General features: G+C 50.5%; 2 protein-coding genes across 5 annotated transcripts in view, besides 1 other annotated feature; one reads left to right on the top strand and one right to left on the bottom strand.

Moving 5' to 3' along the window:
* The window catches only part of UBXN10 (UBX domain protein 10), a 12,720-nt gene extending 11,170 nt beyond the window's left edge, over positions 1-1,550 (bottom strand). Inside the window, exon 1 of the mRNA XM_011540699.4 lies at positions 1,492-1,550. The gene's annotated coding sequence lies outside the window, so the exon portion shown is untranslated. The remainder of the gene's footprint in view (positions 1-1,491) is intronic.
* Positions 1-21,826, top strand: part of PLA2G2C (phospholipase A2 group IIC) — a 23,464-nt gene extending 1,638 nt beyond the window's left edge. The window contains exons 2-6 of one of the 4 annotated variants that reach the window (NM_001316722.3): positions 7,442-7,557; positions 9,736-9,874; positions 11,990-12,087; positions 20,724-20,862; positions 21,585-21,826. In NM_001316722.3, the coding sequence (NP_001303651.1) occupies positions 7,518-7,557; positions 9,736-9,874; positions 11,990-12,087; positions 20,724-20,862; positions 21,585-21,621 (453 nt within the window). In that variant the 5' untranslated portion in view covers positions 7,442-7,517 and the 3' untranslated portion in view covers positions 21,622-21,826. Of the gene's footprint in view, positions 1-256; positions 640-7,441; positions 7,558-8,927; positions 9,875-11,983; positions 12,088-20,723 lie in introns of those variants that run through there. The other 3 variants (NM_001367969.2, XM_047420216.1, NR_110078.2) reach the window with 3 other exon arrangements.
* Positions 13,194-13,423: an enhancer, noted in NCBI's record as "active region_316". NCBI's record gives its function as "activates an Ori minimal core promoter by ATAC-STARR-seq in GM12878 lymphoblastoid cells {active_cell/tissue: GM12878}" and the evidence as "EXISTENCE:reporter gene assay evidence [ECO:0000049][PMID:35858748]".

Genomic DNA, 21,826 nt, shown 5'->3' with positions numbered 1-21,826 from the left:
CGCCCAGCCTCTCCTTTCTTCTCAATGGCTATTTCAAAACGTTGTTTTGCTTGCGAAACCTCCCACCTCTCCCTCTCCCACCTCCCTCCCTCCTCCCTCTTAGAAGATACCTTTACTGCCCTCTTCAGAGAGAAAATAGAAGCCATCATATGGAAACTTCCTCAGCCTTCTGCCATCAGACCTGCAAACTTGCCTGCCTACACTTCCTTGCTTTCCTCCCTCCCTCCAGTTCTAATGTCTTCTGATTCTCTCCAAGGTGAATTGCTCCTCCATGGGTCGTGAAAGAAGATCATGTCAGTGGTGGTGTTTCTGCTCGTCTCAGAAGGGAAGTCTGTGACCCGTGGGAGTTGCTGGGGAGGGCCTGGTCTGGGCCAGGCCTCTTCTTTGGGTTGCCCCCTCACACACTCTGGTCATCCAGGAAGCCTCTGTGGCCCTCGGAATGTGTAAAAGATGGTGGTTTTAGGAGCTGCTGGTTTTGCAACTGAGTGCTGACGGCTTATTTCTTGTTAATGATTCTGTCAAAAGTGTCTTAGCGATGCTCTTCAGCCCTTCATCACCCACCCAAAAAAGATTAAAGTGGATTCTTCATCAGCTATTTTAAAATCACCTAAGAATTATACAATCCTTTGGAGAATCAAATTGGCTTCTCACCGTGTGTGTGTGTGTGTGTGTGTGTGTGTGTGCGTGTGCGCACGCACGCGCGCCTTTGCCAGTGCACAGTGAAATGGCGGTCTGTTTAATGTCAGCAGTACATGCAGTTAACGTCAGCAGTACCTGCCTTTTGCTCTCCAGTGTTGTGTAATGCCCAGCCCCAGGGGGAGGCAGGAGAGGAGGAAAGGAAGGCGCCAGTCCATTGCTGTGCCTCTGCTGCCTTTGTGCCCGACCTTCTATAAAGAGGATGTCTTCAAAGGACAGACCTGATAATGCCTGGTGTCTGGCACATACCCAGAGTGGATCTCAGTAAACATGGGCAGAGGTCATTGCCCTGCCAGCTGAAATGTGGACTCACCTTCCTTTCTAGCCATGTCCCAATCTACTCTCCAGCTCTCTCCCTGGGCTGCAGCCAGCTTGCTCCCCAGATGGGCCCCAGCTTTTTCATCTCCAGTGTCTTTGCCCATGCCTGCCCCACCCTGCTCTCTTCCTTGAAGTTAAGCCAAAATGACTGATCCTTCAAGGCCCATCTTAAAAGCCACCTCTTCCGTGAAGCCCTTTCCTGACCACAGCCTCCCCACAAAAGCTCATGTGCTCTCTCTGGTCGCCTTTGGTCCAGTGGAACATGCCCAAGATGGTGCTGTGCACCCTCCCTAGGTCGGCTCCCTTCATCTTCACAACGCTCCTTAATGGAGGCATCATAGCCCTCCTTTGCTTTAGAAAACAGTGGAGCCTCAGGGTTCCCCCTGGTGAAGGAGCAGCAGAGCAATTTTACAACCTGCATCCAGCAGTTTCCAAAGCCCACCCTGGACCCCAGAGTCCCACCCCCAAGCTCCTCACCTGCGTGTTCCCCCATGGCCCTTATCTGTGCTGTCCGTTGCACTGGTCGTGGGGACTGCAGGCATGGCCTCTGACGTCAAAGCTTGAGTATCAATCCTGGCTCCACCACTTGCCAGCTGAAGACGTTAGGTAAATGATTTACCTTCGCTGGATGTCAGTTTCCGCATCTCTAGAATGGTGATGATAAGCACAGGATTGTTGTGCGGCTGAAATGAGGTAACACACGTGCCAAGTGCTTAGTGAGGGCTACTAACTCTTGTTGCATCATCTTCACTTACAGTGTACATCTCCTTCAGTAGGTTATGAGCTCCTTGAAGGCAGGAACTTGCCTGTCTCGGAATCCCCTGCCTTGTCCACACAATGCTTACTTTGTGATACGTGCTCGGCAATGATGATGGTGGTGCTGATTCCAAGGCTAGCGTTTCCACTGAGCGATCCAGCAAGCTGCTAACTGGTATCCTCCCCAACCATATTTGGCTTGGGGTCCAAATGACCTCCCCAGGGGCTTGCTGAAGGCGGGGGCCCCGGTTTCTTAGCGGCTTGTCCCCACAGAGTGTTTGGCCCCATTTTGAATTAGTGATTTCTAGATTTCAGAGTCTATAGCCAGTGTCCTGCTCTGCCTGTCCTTGGTCTCATTAGACATGTGGATTGAGATCATGGATAACCTTTAAGCAGAAGGTGAACCAGGTGGATATTCTAGTAGCAAGGCCAAGAGGCTGGCAGTTAGTCATGGCTCCTGTGATCAGCTTCCTAAGGGGATCTGCAAGAGGGAAGTTTCTGGATGATGAAACTTAACCCTTGAAGTACAGACATGGGTCACTTAACCATGGGGATACATGCTGACAACTTCATTGCTAGGTGATTTTTTCATTGTGCAAACATTGTGGAGTGTGCTTACCCAAACCTAGATGGTCTAGCCTGCTACACACCTAGGTTATATGGTATAGCCTGTTGCTCCTAGGCCACAAACCTGTACAGCATGTTGCCGTTCTAAATACTGTAACACAATGGCAATTGTAACACAATAGTAAGTATTTGTGTATCCAAACAGATCTAAACATAGAAAAGGTACAATTTAAAATATGGTATAAAAGATAAAAAAAATGGTATGCCTATATAGCGCAGCTACCTTATAATCTTATGGGACCACCATCGTATGTGTGGTCTGTCATTGGACCAAAATGTCATTATATGGTGCATGACTGTACCACAGCTTTTTATTATTTTCCCCGTATTGTTGGAAAATATCCAAAAATGTATAGCCTGCTTTCCAGTCTTGTTAAGCAGAACACATCAAACACTGTAACTCACCTTGGCTACTGTTGACCAAGTATTTTCACCTTCAGGAGCTTGTGGAATCTTGCTGGCATTCTGTGGGGGGCCAGAATCATTGTCTCCACCTCTCTAGTGGAGGAAGGTGAGGCTCAGATTGTTTAAATCTGTCAGGAAGTGGCAGAACAACTCCAGCCCTCTTCTTTGACATAGGCCCCTGAGTTAGTTGCTCTCCACCCTTGCAGTCTCTTGCACAATGCTACCTTTCCTTGGCAACTCGCAGTCAATAATTGTGCTCCAGGTGCACTAGTTTGATGTGGATGGAGTCAGCTGCCCCAGCACACAGTGACCCAGGCTTCTAGGCTTCGTTGATTATCGCTTTAATCACCCCTTGCTTACCTTCCTATTAAGAGAAGCTGCTCTGACTCCATTCCTGTCCGGCTGCTGGGCCTGAGAAATGAAGCTGAGCAGCTTGTTAGAACTGCATCTAAAACAAGAGTCTAAGAGTGTTGTGATACCTGCTTCGCTGCTTGGGCTGTTTTGGGTTTTGCCTTCTCGGTGGTGTTTTGGATAGGCACGGAAGCAGGAGAGCTTTCAAGGATTAGGATTGCCAGCTATGGAGTCAGACGCACCTGGGGTTAAGTCTGGGACCTCTCAGTTTGCAGGGCAAATGACCTGACCTGTGCCAGCTTCAATTACCCTTACTGGTAAACTGGAATGAATCGTATATGCCTCATCGGGAGGATTCGGGAGGATTCAAGGAGAATCCTAATTCACATCCTGTGCTTAGCCTCCTGTTGGTACTCAAGGGGTTGCAGTTATTGTTTTTATTTCTGCAACTTGAAGTATGATAAGACTCTTAACACTCATTCACTCATTCATTCATGCCTCAAATATTTATTTACTGCCCATCTCTCCATGCCTAGTTTCCTTATCTGCAAAATGAGGGTAATAATGGCACTTATCTAGCTAGGGGATGTGAAGATTTAGTGAGTAAATATATGTAAAGTGCTCAGAACCCCTGCAAGGCATAAGTGTGATATATACGTTAGCCATCATCGTGGGTAGTATTAGTTTGTGCCAGGCACTGATAAGAAGGCACTAGGGATAAAGAGGTGAACAAAACAGACCTGACCTCTGTCCTTAATGAGCTTGCAGGCTCCATCCATCTTATTTTCTCTATGGGGAGGAAAGCCAACCAGTGTTTCATTACTGTTGATAAAAGCTGAATTGATGGGTCCAGGAAAGGACCCAGATGGTGGCGTCTAGGGACCCTGCAACTTACTGGCTGCTGCCCTAGGGGCTGGCGTGGGAGGCCATGCCATGCTTTCTACATTCTTGCCCCTCATCAAGCCTCGGGCCCTCGGGTCCTGTGCTCTTGCTTTAGCTTCAGCACAATCGTAGGCAGCCCCAAATGACTTGTCAAATGGAGAGAACCATGCCTGAGTCATAGCTGTGAAGGTCAGTGCATGAAAATGCCCTCAAACCTTCAAAATGCCACACGAACAAGAGGTCTAGGCAGGGAGACTGGCAAGGAGAAAGAGCACTGGACTTGGAGAAAGGGACCAGAGTTTAAGTCCTGGCCCACTTCATAGCTGTGTGGATTTTTTCAGGTTACTTCCGCTCTCTGAGACTTGGTCTCCTCCTCTGTCAAATGTGAATGTGATAGAACCTGCCTGGTAGGGTTGTAGTGAGGAGTAAACAGGAGCAGAGCATAAACTTAAGGGGAATTTAAGGCCTTCTCAAATACCACCTCTCCTGGGAAGATTTCTGTGACCTTCCCAAGAGAGTTCACTGCTCCTTCCTCTGAGCTCAGAGGCATTTATACAGTCACTGGAGCAGTGCTTATCATTCCACATGGATGCAGGCTGAGCTCCCTAGAAACAGACTCTGATGCAAAAAAAGTATGTTGCTGGGAGGCTCCAGGAGATACAGCTGTAGGGAAGTGAGCAAGGGAAGAATGGGGAGAGGGAGAAGCTGACATGCAAGGGAGAAGCTGACATAGAAAGAGAAGCTAACACACAAGGGAGAAGCTGGAACAGAGGGAGAAGCTGACACATAATGGAGAAGCTGGCACAGAGGGAGAAGCATACACACAAGGGAGAAGCTGACATAGAGGGAGAAGCTAACACACACACAGAGAGAAACTGACACACGAGGGAGAAGCTGACACAGAGGGAGAAGGTGACATACAAGGAAGGGAGAAGCTGACACAGAGGGAGAAGCTGACACACAGAAGCTGACATAGCAGAAGCTGACACACAAGGGAGAAGTTGACACAGAAGGAGAAGCTAACACACACACAGAGAAGCCAACATAGAGGGAGAAAGTGACACAGAGGGACAAGCTCACACACACACACACACACACACACACACACACTGACATAGAGGGAGAAGCTGACACACAAGGGAGAAGCTGACACACACAGAGAGAAACTGACATAGAGGGAGAAGCTGACACAGAGGGACAAGCTAACACACACACACACACAGAAACTGACACAGAGGGAGAAGCTGACACACACAGAGAAGCCAGCATAGAGGGAGAAGCTGACACAGAGGGACAAGCTAACACACACACACACACACACACAGAAACTGACATAGAGGGAGAAGCTGACACAAAAGGGAGAAGCTGACATGCAAGGGAGAAGCTGACACGGAGAAGCTGACACACACACAGAGAAGCTGACCTAGAGAGAGAAGCTGACACACAAGGGAGAAGTTGACACAGAGGTAGAAGCTGACACACACACGCACAGAGCCCAACATAAAGGGAGAAGCTGATACAGAGGAACAAGCTAGCACGCACGTGCGCGCGCACACACACACACAGAAACTGACATAGAGGGAGAAGCTGACACAGAAGAACAAGCTAACACACACACACACACACACACACAGAGAAACTGACATAGAGGGGAAGTTGACACACAGAGGCAGTTGCTGAGGCCACAGGGAGCTCTGGGGCTGGGACCGCCTTTCAGAGCTATCCTGAAAAAGGCAAGGGATGGCCCTTTAAACTATCACCCCAGCCAGGGATTGGCTAGAGACTCCTTCTCCTGTCTTCCCTGGGAGGGGCCATAACCTTGGGCCACGCGGTACCTGCAGCAGAGAGTGGTTCTCAGTGAGGGACAGCGTCAGCAGCAGCTGGTACCCCAGCCCTGAAGAGGGGGCCTGCCAGGACTGTGTGAAGCATTCGAGAACTAATGGAGAACCAAACAGAATTGCAGCCCACATGGGGCTTTGGGGCTATATTTGGTCTCTGTTTACCTATTTGGTCTCTCTAGCCAGCTTGGCAGCTTCCTTGGGTCAGAATGTTCTCATTAGAAGAGCTCATAGTTGGTGCTTAATAAGAGTCTATCGGATTTCATGACCAGTAATGCACCCAGGTCCCTTTCTTTGTTTCTCTAAAGTGTATCACCTGCTCATTCAAAAGAACTGAGCCCCTTTTTCGTGGGCTAAACTTGCACATGATTTTTTTTAGACTCAAAAGAGAAAAAGGAAGCAAGCCTGTAGAGACAGAACCTAATTAAAAAACATCCCGCACAGCAATTGAAGTGAAGGTTGGCTGGGACCAGGCCTGGTCAGGGCCCGACCTCGCAGCATCCACCAGAATGTTGCCAAAGGGGGAAGATAGCAAAGACACCCTGATTAACTCTCCCAGGGATCTGCAGCAGGATGGTCATTTTGAAGTTTTCCTTGGAAGCTTTGCCACCAGGTGTAAATCTAGCCCAAGCTCTGCACCTGCCAACTTCTCTAGGCTCAACCGAGCTATTGTTTCACACTCCAAGTCCTGACGTTACCAGATTTAGCCTGATTTATGATGGGGGCTATAAAGACCACTTGTATGTAAAGAAAGCCATTGGCTGATCCCTGGCAGCTCCATGGCAGGGCTGCAACCCACATTCTTCTCTACTGTTCTAATATGGGTATCATTACCCATACTAATCGGAATATGAATTCTGTGTCTACCTATGACTGCATTTGATAGTACAAAACAGTTTTACTTTCATTATTCCAGCAGGTCCCACAATGGGCCTGTGAAGTAGACAGCTATGTGATCATGAGGAATTTGTTCACCCTCTCTGGGTCTCGGTTTACCCAACTTCAAAATGATAATAGAACCTCAGAAGGAGTTGTAAGGGTCAAACCATGTAATACCTGTGAAGCCCTTAAAATAAAGGCTTGAAATTATTGACAGGAATTTCTAGTCTCACTCTGCAAGAGAAGAAACCAAGGTGCAGAGAGGTAAAGTTGATGAATATGATGCCTGGGTATCAAGGAAGGAAGGCACTGTGGGACTAGATGCAAACCAAGCTAGGAATTCCTGTGTGGGATTTCTATTATGAACAACATAGGTGCCTTTCCAACTCGGGAACAGAGGAAATATGGACTCCTCAAAAGAAAAAAAGAAGAGATGAAGGGATGATGTTGCCAAAGAAAGAAATTTGGAAAAAAAAAAACCAAACCAACATTTGCACTTTCAAAACCATGGAACCCTTCTTATTTTTATATGTTCAGATCTAAATGCCAGAAAGGTTACCACATTCAAAGGGAATGAGATTTGAAAATGATTTCTTTGAGTCCTCTGCTGAGGTCTTTCCAAGGCACTACAATTAGGGCTTTGCACCCAAATACCCTTGCCTCATTTTGGTCATTTTGTCCTGGAACAGAGGTTCAGCTGGGAGACCCCTCACACACAGGTGAAGGCGTGGCTGTAGAACCTCAGACCCCCTGGTCTCCTCAGGAATGAAGGTCATTGCCATCCTCACCCTCCTCCTCTTCTGCTGTAAGTAGAGAGCTTGGTGGGTCAGCACCAAGCTTCTGTCTTCCTGTTTATGTCAGTGGGAGGGGGGACTCTCCAGGTGGCACCAGGTGAGGGAAGTCACAAGTCCCGCAGAAAAGAATCAGGAAAGGAACGGGCTCCCACCAACGTCCTCTTGCTTCTGTTTCTGCTATAAAATGGGCTGATCCCAGTGTTGGGATCTTATAAAGTGTCTAGGAAATCAGAGGTTGCCAACCATTTGCTAGAAAGGGAGTTTGACTACTATTTTACCCCCCTCACCCTCAAGAGTCTTTTTTCCTTTGGATGCTAGTAGCCTTTATTTAAGGCCATTTGGATTCAGAACAAAAATGCAGACATATATCCAGCTAATTTAAGAATGATTAATGCTTATCAGAAAGACATTTTTATGGTGACTTATGGGATAATTGGTAGTTATAAGTCATTGCTGCCGGGAGATCCGATTGCTTACCTCTGCAAAGTGAAGAAAGACCTACTGGGAAACAGTTTGGGGTCTACTGGAGACTGATAGACTCTTTTGCTGGATTCGTTGAGTGGAGGTTTGTCCAGATCCATTTTCCTGTCTCTTTCAATTGAGTCACAATAACTTTTGAGTCCCTAAGTCAAAGATGTCAAAAACAGACTTCCTTTCCCCACAGTGAGTGGTGGAATTTACACTTTGCAAGGTGATAGTGCAGGAGGATACCTGTACGCAGGGATGACCGCCTCTGCAGCCCCTCAGTGCGGCTCCAGGGACTGCTTGGGCAGCAGTGACCGCCCATGGGTTTCTTCCGCCACACCCCCGTTTAGACTGAACACGATAGTGAGATCGAAGGCACCTGAGAAAACTCCCCCAAACTCTATTTCTGTTTCTCTTCTTCAAGTTCATGTCTTTGTTGTATTTTTATTGCAAATTTACTACATGCTTATAGTTAAAAAGTAAAATAAATGAGTATATAGCAACAAGGTAAAGCTCCTCCTCATCCTCCCCAGACCCCAGTTTTTTCCCTACATCCAGATGTGACCACTCTTAAGAGTTTGATATACATCCTCTATACAGCGTTTACCCACACACATTCAAAACACCATAATAGGAAGGGAACACATGCTGGGCCGGGCGCGGTTGTTCATGACTATAATCCCAGCACTTTGGGAGGCCGAGGCGGGCGGATCACCTGAGGTCAGGAGTTCGAGACCAGCCTGGCCAGCTGGCCAAGATGGTGAAACCCCGTCTCTATTAAAAATACAAAAAATTAGTCAAGCATGGCAGTGGGCACCTGTAATCCCAGCTACTCAGGAGGCTGAGGCAGGAGAATTGCCTGAACCCGGGAGGCGGAGGTTGCAGTGAGCCGAGATCACACCATTGCACTCCAGCCTGGGTAACAACAGCGAAACTCCGTCTCAAAAAAAAAAAAAAAAGAAGGAAAGGGAACACACGCTTATTATGAAAAGACATGAGACAGCGGAGACGTGTATAAAATGAATGTTGCCTGTTTCTTTCTCTCTCTTCAATCCCAATTGCCTAGAGATAGTGCTATCAAATGTAGTTTATTTTTGAGACACATAATTTTGTTATTATCCCCCTGTCGGTGGACATGTGGGTGGTTTCCAATTTTTTGATATCACAGATAATGCTTCAGGAAACCATTTTGTGTATGCATTTGTGCCCACTCTCATAAGCATCTTGTAGAAGCAAAAACAGCTGAGTTCATGTGTACTTGTCATTTAAAAAAATAATAATTGAGGATACCTTTCCTGCCTCTTAAGTATTTTGTTTCTCCTGTGAGATAGTAAAGGCCTGATGACATCTGGAGGGACTGGCGTTTCTGGCTTTGAACTTTTGCCATTCATGTTGCATCAGACCCGAGGGTGTTCTGCCTAGAACTGTGGTTTCTTGCTTTGAGGGGGAAGACTATGGTTGATGGGAAAGCCTTGTTCTGAACCTCATGGAAACTGGGTATTCATCTGGGTTAGCAAAAAACTAGCTGTGTTACAGGGGCAAATCTGAACCTATTTTATTCCCCAGGAAAGAGGCTGGTGATTCCAGCCATGCCCCTTGCACTTCGCTTTGGGGATCTGGTGATATTTCGAATGCTCAGCACTCTAGTAAGGGGAGGGGACATCAAGGCAGCATCATGCTCATTGCAACTTCCTTCTTCCTTTTTTTCTCATCGGTGGTGGCAGCCCCCACCCACAGCAGTTTCTGGCAGTTTCAGAGGAGGGTCAAACACATCACGGGGCGAAGTGCCTTCTTCTCATATTACGGATATGGCTGCTACTGTGGGCTTGGGGATAAAGGGATCCCCGTGGATGACACTGACAGGTGGGTGCAGAGGCTCTAAGGCCACTTATCATTTGTTTTGCATTAAAGTTCATGCTCAAAGCCAGAGAGAGGGTGTTAGGATTCTTGCCTGGCAAATAACAGAAAACAACTCAGGCTAATGGAAGGAAGAACTGAACGGGATTTGGAGGATGGGTCTTGAGAAACCCAGGGTCGGGGCCAGCTTCTTGAGTGTGTGACCTGTGAAGTTTCACAGGGCCCAACACTCATAAGGGTCAGGGCCAGCTTCTTGAGCGTGTGATCTGTAAAGTTTCACAGGGCCTGGCACTCATAAGGGCCTAAACATGGTTTACTGCTCTGCTGCCACCATCTTGAAATTCTTAATAAAGGGCCTCATGTTTTCATTTTGCTTTAGTCTCTGCAATTATGCCGTTGGTCCTGCCCAGAGCTCTAGAAGCTGTTTCATCCTCATAGTAAAAGTGCTGTGCTTTCAGCTCTCCAGCTTTTAGGACTATAGGCACAGCACAACTGACTCACTAGTCCTAATTCCATATTCTAGGAGAGGGAATCCAAGTGGCCCAGTTTGGAGAAGTTGTCCATCTGGGTGAGGTTGCATGGCACAAACCTGGCTTCAGGCCTACTCCAAAGGATGGGGGTGGGGGAGTGTGAGTTCCTAGAAAAAGTAGAGGTGGGTGTCATCTGGTGAATGTACGTGTGGGGAGGTAAGAAACGGGACAGTTTGCGTGTCAATTCATTTGAAGACATAAGAAAGCAAAATGTTCCTTGCCACATTTAACCTAGTATGGAGAAACATGTCCCCACAGTGGGGCCTTAAATATCACTCCTGGAGCTCGAGTCTTGTGGGTGGGGCTCATGGAACCATGGGAGGACCTCAGAGCCTTGGAAGGGCAACTGACGCTTATGAAATGCCCTTATGTGCCAAGCACTGGGACTGGCGATTGGCATACAAACCTAATTTAATTCTCGCAGGGAATGCACGAGACAGTGATACCAGCCCATTTGACAGGTGAGGACAGTGAGTTGCTAAACCACCTCCTAAAGGCAATGCAGCTTCTAAGTGGCAGAGTTAGGATTGAACGAGAATTTGCCTATTTCAAAGTTTGTCCCCTCTCCTTGATGGTCTGTGCCTCCCCTGTCAAAGTCCAAAGGCTGATTAGAAATTGAACATCATTAGCCAAAGCTGATCAACAGCAGAGCCCCCACTTGCAGATGGGAATGGTGAGAGAGGGAGACTGAAACATTTTTCTTGGCCTTTCAGGCCTTAGAATCCAAGCTTAAGTTTCTGCCTTCCTGTCCCTTGTGTAGTGGTTGAGGACATGGACTGAGCCCATGCTCCAGATGGTATTTCTCCTCCAGTGCTCTCCCATCCAGCCCCCAGCCAACTCTGGGTGCCATGAATGGGACTACGTCGGCTTTTACAGACAGTTGTCTCCTCAGAGACCGTTACAGTGCCTGACTCACAGTAGGTGCTCAGTAAAAAGTGTTAAATGAATGAATGGGCCTAGGTTTGTGTCCTGGGTCTATCATTCTCCAGCTGCCTAAGTTTGGGAAATTGGCCTCTTGGAATCTCAGTCCCTCCCCTACAAAAGGGCAGCAATGATTGTACTTTATAGGTTTCTATGAGTAGCTAATGAGATAGCAACAGATACTAGAGAGGGCTCAGGAAATGCTACTGGTTATTATTATTATTTTTTATTTTATTTATTTTTTGGGAGACGGGGTCTTGCTCTATTATCCAGGCTGGGGTGGAGAGGCTCAATCAGAGCTCACTGCAGCCTCCGTCACCTGAGCTCAAGCAATCCACCCACTTCAGCCTCCTGAGTAGCTGGGACCACAGGCTGGTGCCACCATGCCTGGCTTTTTTTTTTTTTTTAAACTTAAAAAACATAGGCGGTCTCCCTATGTTGCCCAGGCTGGTCTCAAACTCCTGGACTGAAGCGATCCTCCTGCCTTATCCTCACAAAGTGCTGGGATTGCAGGCATGAGCCACCACACCTGGCCTATGTTTAATATTATTGATAATTCACCTCCTCACCTTCAATGCCTTCTTGCCTAGAGGAGGAGGCAGGTGAGCCCTTTCTAGTCCCCAGATAAGGTCCTCCAGCAGATTCCTGAGGGACCCACTTCCAGGCACAGCCCCTCATCTCCCTCTCCCTACGAGAAGCTGAAGGAGTTCAGCTGCCAGCCTGTGTTGAACAGCTACCAGTTCCACATCGTCAATGGCGCAGTGGTTTGTGAGTAGCCTTTTCTGTATGGAAATGTCTTTTAACCTGGGCCTTTCCTTAACGTTCACCTCCTCTTTGACCCAGAGATCTTTTAGAAAATGAAATGCTTCCAAGTGCTTGGAAGGAGATATTCCTGAGCTTTCTCCTGATGCTCCAGAGCTTCTCAGAGTGTCCGTGCTCATCCTGCCCTGGTCTCTCCCACCCATGAGTGTACCTCCTGAACTCTCTGGGGGCCCAGAGCCTGGCAGATAGTACATGCTCAGTAAATACTTGTTCACTTGAGCTAATCTTGAAGCTTCCCTTGACAACTGCTGCTGTTGAGAACATGTTTCCTTGTTTCTGTGATTTTGTTAACAAAACGGCTCAGCTGTCTTCCAGTTGGACAAATATTTATTAAGGGCGACTGCATGCCAAGCACTAAGATAGGTGCTGCCAGGGCCACAAAAGCAAATAGGTGGGAAGGGAAGGGGGACTCACATGTTACTGAGACCATTCAAGGAGCCATGTGGGCAAGTGGATCAAGTGCCCTTCACATGGGGCGTGGCCCTGGCATCCGGAGCGTGTTCTGCGGCTGGTAGGGTATGGGTATGTGCAGGGCAATCCTGGCCTAGACAGCAGGCACATTTGGAGGCACGGGACAGTAGTCTTTCGTGAGCACCATCCTTTCCAGCATAGCCAGGGTGGATCCTGGGGTCCTGGGCTGGGAGGGTGAAGAGCAACAAATAAAGAAGTGGCTTCTTGGCCGGGCGCGGTGGCTCACGCTTGTAATCCCAGCACTTTGGGAGGCCGAGGCGGGCGGATCACGAGGTCAGGAGATCGAGACCATCCTGGCTAACACGGTGAAACCCCGTCTCTACTAAAAATACAAAAAAAATTAGCCGGGCGTGATGGTGGGCGCCTGTAGTCCCAGCTACTCGGGAGGCTGAGGCAGGAGAATGGCGTGAACCCGGGAGGCGGAGCTTGCAGTGAGCCGAGATTGCGCCACTGCACTCCCGCCTGGGCCACAGAGCGAGACTCCGTCTCAAAAAAAAAAAAAAAAAAAAAGAAGAAGTGGCTTCTTATAGTGTGTGGCTCACTTCCTGCCTGGCCTCGTGGGGTTGCATGAATCACTTTCCTTCCCAGGTGTATTTATTCAGAGCTGTGAGTGCACCTTGGAGTTCCTCTGTTTCCTCCTGAGGTCAGGGAACTACCACCTCTCTGCCACTCATCCCCTATGGCGGGAGATACATCCTCCATCCCGTAGTGGGTTCCAGGGCTCAGAACCCTGGTCTCCTGAGCTCCCCCAACCCACCACTTCAGCTCAGCACACACCAATACCCAGAGTTAGGACTGTGAGGTCTCCCTGGCACCAGCTGTGTGGGTTGGGGGCTCGGACCCCTGCACCGGGAGGACCTGCCTCAGCTCTTGGCCTGCCCTGCCCACTGCCACCAGCACGTGGTTGACAGGGAAAGAACCCCCTTTTGTTCCCCACGTGAGCTCAAGGAGACTTCCTGAGTTGGAGCTCTCTGGTGTGGTCCTTCTCAGGCCTAAAGCAAAGTGTCTTTTCTGTGACACCTCCAAGGCCATGTTCAGGAGAGGGGAAGGGATCAGGGCCTGGTGGGAGGGATGGGGAGAGGGGACTGGAGAAGGTGGCCTCCAGGGATCGAGTTTCCCATGGCCTCTTCCCACCTGTCTTTGCCACAGGGGTGGGGACACCTGGCTGGCCCAGCCCAAGCCTCCACCCTGGGCTCCTGTGGGCTGGCTGCACTCGCCAGGGCTGGCCTAGGCTCTCTGCACCCAGGGAAGCTTCTCTATTCAATGCTCTTCACCCTCCCAGCCCAGGACCCCAGGAGATGAGGGAGAGTGGAGCAAAGGTTGAGGAGCAGAGGCTGGAGCCCCAGGCAGTGGCACTGCTGGGCAGTGGTGGGAGGTGCCAGCCAGGGCTGGGAGTTGGACCCGAAAGTACGTGGCCTGGGCTGTACTTTCTTCCCACGTTGCCCCTTCAGAGCAGAAGCAGCCAGTTGCTCCTGAAGCCTTGACCAGGGCTCCTGAGTCCAGAGCCTTGCTCAGGGCACTAGCGTGGGAGGAGGCTTCCGCATCAGTACCAGGGCATCAGCACCCGCCTCCTCAGCTGACCCAGCCCGTGAGGACCAGGCCAGCCCCTGTCATCCCCACCCCCACCTTGCCAAGCCCCTGCCCCCAGGAGCAGGGCTGAGAGCGAGGTGATCTGGGTTCTAATCCAGAGTCTGCTGCTGACATGTGCTGAGCCCCAGGCCCATTGGTTTACTTGCCCCAGTATTGAGCGAGCATCCACTGGGTACCCGCCCAGTGCCGGTGCTGTGCCAGGGGCCAGGGGCACAGAATAAAGCAGACCCAGTCCCTGCTCTTCTGGCATTCACAGTCTTGTGGAAACTCCAGAGCTAAAGTGCCCTTAGAGATTATCCAGATCAGCCCCTCCTTGTAGCAATGAAGAGACTGAGACCCACAGAGGGGATGAGTTTGATCCAAGAAACAGACAAGATTAAGATGCATGTGTCTTGAACCTTTTCAGTGCTCTGGAACATACCGTCTGGCCGGAGTTGTCTGGGCTTTGGTTTTCCCATCCATGAAATGGGTACAATAACAACAGCTATAGTGTATGAGCCTCTGTGATAGATGCTGTACGCACAGCACCTGAACTCACATGATAAACCACTGAGGTGAGCATTATCTCCCATTATCAAGGAGGACCCTGGGGCTCAGAGAGGTTAAGCACGATGGCCAAGGCCACACAGCCAGGGAAAGAAGAGTTGGAATTCAAACCCCGGGTGCCCTGTCTCACACTAGCTTCCCCTGTGGAGGGTGCTGGTGTGTGCATGATTGGAGGCCCTCACACAGTGTAAGTCTCAGGATCTGCAGCAAACTGGTCAGAATGCTCTGCCCTGGCCCAGGGAAGGAAAGAGGGGCAGATGGAGTTTGCTTCGCTGTAAGGCCCCGGAGCTTTGTGTTCCTGCTGAGAAGCCTCAGAGTCGGGCAACACTGGGTCTAATTCCAGCTCCACCCCTTGTATTAATAGCTGGGCCTTAATCTCCTCATCTGTAAAATGGAGAGAATCGCCTGTACTTCATAAGGCTGCTGGAAGGATTAGCTAAAGCAACCCAGCTACAGTGGCTGGCCTACAGTAGGTGCTTCATTAATGCCCTTCCTTTTAGATGTGGAAATTCCTCTTTTTGTCCAAGTTTTCTTTTCCTCTTTGCTTACGGCACTGGGATTTTCTTTATTACTGTTTCTTTGAAGAGTCCGCTCTGTACTTGTGCCCATCGGGCTATGGTCAGTAACCCCTTATGGAATAAAACCCCTTTCCTGGCCAGGTGTGGTGGCTCATACCTGTAATCCCAGCACTCTGGGAGGCTGAGGCGGGAGGATCACTTGAGCCCAGGAGTTCGAGACCAGCCTGGGCAACACAGTGAGACCCCTGTCTCTACTAAACATACAAACAATTAGCCAGATGTGGTGGTGCATACCTGTAGTCCCAGCTACTCAGAAGGCTGAGATAGGAGGATCACCTGAGCCCAGGAGATGAGGCCACAGTGAGCTGTGATTGCACCACTGCACTCCAGCCTGGGCAACAGAGTGAGACCCTACCTCAAAAAAGAAAAGCAACAACAGAAAAACCTATTTCCCTATCCTAATTGCACCTCCATTCAAAGAGCTGCCCCTGCAAGAGTTAACCAACTCCCTAGCCTCCCATGAGTTCTGAAATCCTGCACCCAGGCCTGGTCCCAGGTTGCCTAGCAACCGGGGGCTGCTCTGGGATGCAGTAGGTAAGCAGGGGAGGGAGAGGAAGAAAACAACTTGGTCTGTCCACGACTCTAAATGTCACTGAGAGATCAGTGCAGAGAAAGGCCTGTCACCAGAGCCCAGGGCCCAATTTGCCTGGTGGTAGGGACAGCTGCCCTCAGGCCACCTGGGAGGTGGTTATCCCTCCTTTGAGTGGGCTTACATAAGTACTTGGCATTTTTGCAAGGGACTTTAAGCTCACTCAGCAGTGACACCCCCTCCGCCCACATGCACATACATGTGTGGTACAGGGAGGACCCGGTGTGGGAGGCAGAGATGGGGTTCCAGCCAACTGAAACTCCATCATCTGCATCTCCCGGCCTCTGACTGCCTCCCTCTGCCAAAGCGGGAAGATGAAAATGGTAACTGCTGGAATTTGTATTTTGCAAAGACTTTTCTCATTTACTGCTGAATATATTCCTCATCTCAGCCTCCACTCGCTGACACGCTACCCACTGTCTCTCCCAGCATTCATCTCTACCTGAAATGATCTTGTTTACTTCTCTGTGTCTGTGTGCCTCGACTCTCCCCCACCGACTAGAAAGGTCCGTGAGAGCAAGGAGCAAGCCTGTCTTGTTTGAGGGCACTGGTTCTCATAGAGCCCACAGGGAATGATGCCCCTGGACTAAGCAGTGTGGGGTCTGCTGGCTTGCACCTGTGCCCCCAGCTCCTAGCCAAAGACCAGACACATGTTGGGAACTCAATACTTGTTTGTTTAATGAGTAGATGAACAAAAGCACTCATGAAATAGGCAGTGCACGTATCTTTATCACCATTTGAAAGCTGAGGAAACAGGCTTGGAGAGGGAAGCAACTTGCCTGACACCCCAAAGCACAGAAGCAGCATATTTGGCCCAAGAACCTGGCTTCCTGTCTCCAAGGGGTCAGCTGCTGGCATTGGCCTGTAGGCCATGTGAGTGTGGCAATGTAGTCAGCAAAGAGCCTTTACTGCATGTTGGGGTCAGAAGATCAGCAATAAGGAGGACAAAATCCTTGCCTGGAAGGAGCTTGTGTTCCAAAAAGAACAAGAGACCACAGCATATTCATTAATAAAGACACATTCAAACAGGGCCAAGTGCTCTGAAGCACCTCAGACAAAGCGACAGGCTGCAAAATGACAGCGTTTGGGGGTCAGGAGACAGAAGGGTGCCTGCTTTAGGTGGTCGAAGAAGGCCTCTCTGGGGAGGTGGCATTTGGTCTGAGACCTCAGGGCCAATGTGCTAGGAGCAGAGGAGCCTTGGGGAAGAATGGAGATGAGGTTGGACAGGATGAGACACGTGCCTTCTATGTCAATGGCAAGGGAGTCATTGGAGCATGTGAAGCAGAGGATGCTCTACTTTTGCCCCAGAAAGATCACTCTGGCTACAGTGCAGAGAAAGAAGAGAGTCAAGGAGGAAAGAAGGGCCTCATTAGGGGACTGTTGCAAAGCACAGGGAGGCACAACCACAGCCAAGATCAGCATGGTGACAATGGGGATGGGAAGTGTCAGATGTCGGCAATGCTGTGCGGGTAGGGTCAGGGCCGACAGGACCTGCTGATGGGTTCAGCGTGGGGTGTGAAGGGAACAGAGGCTGCACCCCAGGCTCCTGGCCTGAGTGGCTGTAGATAGTGGCACCAAATACTGAGCTTGTGAAGATGGGGGGAGAGCTGATGATGAAGACAGCAAGAGTTTGGTGTGAGTCACCTTGAGTTTGAGACACGTGTCAGACATGTAAGGGGTAGGCAGGTGGACACGTGCTTATTGAAGTCTGGAGCCCAAGGGAGAGGTGTGGGCTGCAGCGGAGAAGTTGGGAGTATTCAGAGTTCTGACACTGACCAAGAACACCCCTCAGAGAATTCAGAGACAACCAGGGCTGAGGCGAGGGGCTTAGACTGGGGCCTGGGACAGCCACAGGCAGGAATGCAGACTTGCTGCCTCTTCTTATTTGTGGAGATGTAGTTCATGCAGCAAGAAAGTCATTCCAAAGCCCTCCTTTCCTTTCTTCATGCCTCAGTTTCTCCATTAGCACATTAAAAGATGCAAGATCTGGAGTTAAGCTTGTTTTTAAAAGGTGGCCTCCAAAGACGGTTTTTCTTGGCCTGGGGCTGTCTCATCATCCAGGTCATGACAGGCCCGGTCCATGGTTGAGGAATGCCACAGAAGTGACAGTCCACTGCAAAAGACTGCTGCTCCAGATCAGTTCTGGAAGGCCTGGCAATGGGGCAGGCCACTGAAGTAGAACTGGATGTCAGATGCACGCATTAGAAAGGACAGGAAGACCAAATGAGAAAGGGAGAGGGGGCAGGGAGAAAGGAAGGAGAGCTAGAGACTTGAGGCAAAGGAAACAAGAGATGGAATAGAAGAAGACAGAGGACCAGAAGACAGTGAGACCAACAGAAAGAGAGAGGGACGAGAAAGAAGGTGGCTGAGGAAGGTGAGAAAAGTGTTTCCAGGGCGACAGCAACTGGACCAGGCCCTCTAGTTGGACAGTGAGGCTGGCTGGGGGGCCTGAGCTCAAGTAGCCCTCGTCCCCTGAGAGAGTGGGGGCTACCTGGGGAGCTGGGCTTGATGCATCTGGAAGGATCTTCACAGAGGCAGGAGGGGGAGTGGGAGGGCAGAGGGCACCCAGGCGCTAGAACAGTGGGAGTGGCGGGAGCCGCAAAACCGGAGAGCCAGAGGAGTGAACATCCCTGGCAGATTCCCTGCGGGCGAGCAGGGAGGGCAGGAAGCTCAGTGGTGTTGGCACAACGTGAGAAGTTCCAGGGAGGCGTGGGAGGACGGCTTCTGCAGGACGCAGACTTTGCAGAGGGAGAGTGGCAAACAGACTGACTGCAGGCAGCTCTGCCGGCTCCACAGGGCGCTGCTTTTTCTCCACGTGGAGCTGGAGTGCATCACCCTGAGAACAGCAGCAAGCGCCCACAGGGCACCTTCTGCGTGCCAGGCACATCCGGACCACTTGTCGGTAGACACCAGTGACCCTCACCACCACCCCAGGAATGGGACAGTGTCATGTGTTTCTGAAATGACTAGGTTTTAGCACCATTTCATAGATGAGGAAGCTGAAGCTAACTTGCCCAAGGTCATAAACCGGGCGTCTGGTGGCCTCCCCTCCTCACTGCCAACCCTGAGAGCGGACTAGGGTGGAGTTATCTGGAAAGAGGAAGCTGTACCTGAGAGCCCTAAACACACATGCGCGCGCGCACACACACACACACGCACAAACACACAATGCACGCACACACATGCGCACGCACATACACACACATGCACACATGGACACATACCTGCACACACAAGCATACACATGCACACAGGCACACGCATGCACACACGCGCATGCACACACATGCACACACATGTGCATGCACACAGTGCGACAGCTCTGATTAGTAGGTAAATAAAAGGTTCCCATCTAGTGGTGACTCGGCCAAAGTGCAGACACTGAACCCCAAAGGCCCATAGAGGCTTCATTCATCCCTTCTCTTATTCTTCATTCATGGATTCTATTGAGCATCTGCTCTGTGCAGCATCTGTCCTGGATGCTGGGGATACTGTGATGACTTAGACAAGGTCTCAGCCGCACACAGCTTATGCTTCTTTGAGGGGAGGCAGACACAAGCCAGGAAACCAATAAGAGAAGTTAAGTAAAAAGCACAGTGAGTGAGACAAACGGGTATGGAGGACATGGCCAGAGAGAGCTTTAGTTCAGGTGGTCAGGGAGCACCTCTCTGAGGAGGTGAAATTTGACCAAGCCTCAAACAGTGGCAGGGATCCCACTGCTTGCAGATCCTGGGGAGAAGCATTTTAGACAAAAAGAACAGCAAGTCCAAAGGCCCAGAGACAAGACAGAGCAAGACCTGTGACATGAAACAGGCTGGTGTGCCCAGAGCAGGGAGGCTGGGAGAGTGGAGGGGGAGGGCGATGAGGGTGGAGAAGCTGGTGAGGGTGGCATCCCGGCAAGTGTGCCTGGCCACGGAGGCCACGGAAGGATTCAGCATGTCTTTCCCGAATAGGAAACCACACTGGGGCTGTAAGCCAGAGAGTGAACGTAACTCGGGTTACAGTTTGAGAAGGTCCCTGCTTATTTCCTTCCGTGAAGGAGGAAGAGCTGCTGATGACAGAGATTTGGGCAGTGGCCAAAGACATAGAGAGAAGAGGGCAGAACATGGGCTATTTTAAACACAGAGAAGATTAGCGGGACCCGCTGGCAGACCGGACATGAAATGTGGAAGGAGCGGGGGCAGCGAGGTCGGCTCCTAGTTTCCTGAGAATGTGGGTGAATCACGGGCTCACAGGCAGAGGGAGCACTAGGATATCAAGGGTTCCCTTGTGAACGCCTCAAGTTGGAGATGCCTGAGACATCCAAGTGAGATGTCAAGCAGGCAGCTGGAAATAGGAGATGAGCTCTGGGAAAATGCTCCCATCACCCTGGCCTGTGTGCTGCCTGGGCGCACCCATTCAGGGCCCTCCACGCAGCCCACGCCCCTGCCTCCTGATTCCTTCTAGGCTTCTCCAGCACTCGTGGGATGCCCAGATGTGATCAGGGAAGGGCTTGAGGATGCAGGGAAGCTGTGGCTGAGAGCCCTAAACACACACATGCACACGCACACACACATACACAGGCACATGCACACACGACCATACACACACACAAATGCACGCAGATGCACACAAATGCATATGCACGCACACAAATGCATATGCACACACACACATGCACACATATGCATACACGTATCCCTTTCAGTGGCTTTCCTTTCTGTCCTTAACCCTTGGCCCCTTACAGTGAGCTCCCAGTTCTCCCCAGCCTTAGAACCAAACCCTGGGGCTGGGCTGGGAGCCCCCAGTGACCCTCTGTGTCTCTGTAGGTGGATGCACCCTTGGTCCTGGTGCCAGCTGCCACTGCAGGCTGAAGGCCTGTGAGTGTGACAAGCAATCCGTGCACTGCTTCAAAGAGAGCCTGCCCACCTATGAGAAAAACTTCAAGCAGTTCTCCAGCCAGCCCAGGTGTGGCAGACATAAGCCCTGGTGCTAGGGACACCACAGGGTCCCTCTCATCATCCAGCATCCGCTCTAGTGTTGCTCTTCCAGGAAGCCTTCTCAGATCATCCCCAACAGGCCCCTGTTCTTCCACTGGGAGGGAGGACAAAATGTCTCCCGCAGGGCAGCTCACCCTTCAGCATTCTGACCAAGGGGACTCCCTGTCGTTCAGCATCAGAGGGCTGGAGAGCAGAAATGGGAAAGATGAGATGCCTGCCCTGCAGGAGCTGGCATTCTGTGGAGTGGGGAGGACTACAAATGCATGGATATAGAAGTAAGAGACACATTAGACTGTAGTAAGTGCTATGATGCAGTAAAACAAAGGGACGGGATAGAGATGCACCCAACCCCACATCCCAGGGTTTCCAGGAGGGGAGAAGCCCCAGGATCTACCCCAAACTCTCTCTTCACCCCCACTGCAAACCGGGACACAGAGCAGACTTGAGCGCCAGGCCCATGCCCAGCTCTAGCTGGCAACAAAGCCACCACTTTCCTTGCCCCTCTGCGTCCTCAGTTTTTATGATGTCATTCTTAGCTTTTCTTATCAAGAGGCAGAATCTGTTTTCCCCATCCCATGAATCTGAACTGGTCTTGTGGCTTAGTTTGGTCAATAGAATGTTGTGGGAGGGATGGTTTACCAGTTTTGAGCTAGGCCTCAGGAGGTCTAGGGCATGTCTACTCTCTCTTAGGACAGCTGCCCCCACCCTGCAAAAAAGCCTGGGCTAGCCTGCTGGAGGATGAGAGCCCACCTGGATCAGTTGTCTCAGCTGATTTCAGACACGTGAGAGAGAGCTCAGCGAGACTCAGCTTGTAGCTGACTACAGATGTGTGAGGGAACCTGGCTGAGACCAAAACAACTGTCCAGCTGAGCCCAGGCTAAACTGCCAACATGCAGAATTGTGAGCTAAATAAAGGCTGCTGTTCTAAGTCA

The sequence above is a fragment of the Homo sapiens genome, chromosome 1, assembly GCF_000001405.40.
Source record: "Homo sapiens chromosome 1, GRCh38.p14 Primary Assembly".
NCBI classification, from domain to species: domain Eukaryota; kingdom Metazoa; phylum Chordata; class Mammalia; order Primates; family Hominidae; genus Homo; species Homo sapiens.
Note: the sequence above shows the minus strand (reverse complement) of the source record. Positions and strands in the feature narration are given on the sequence as shown.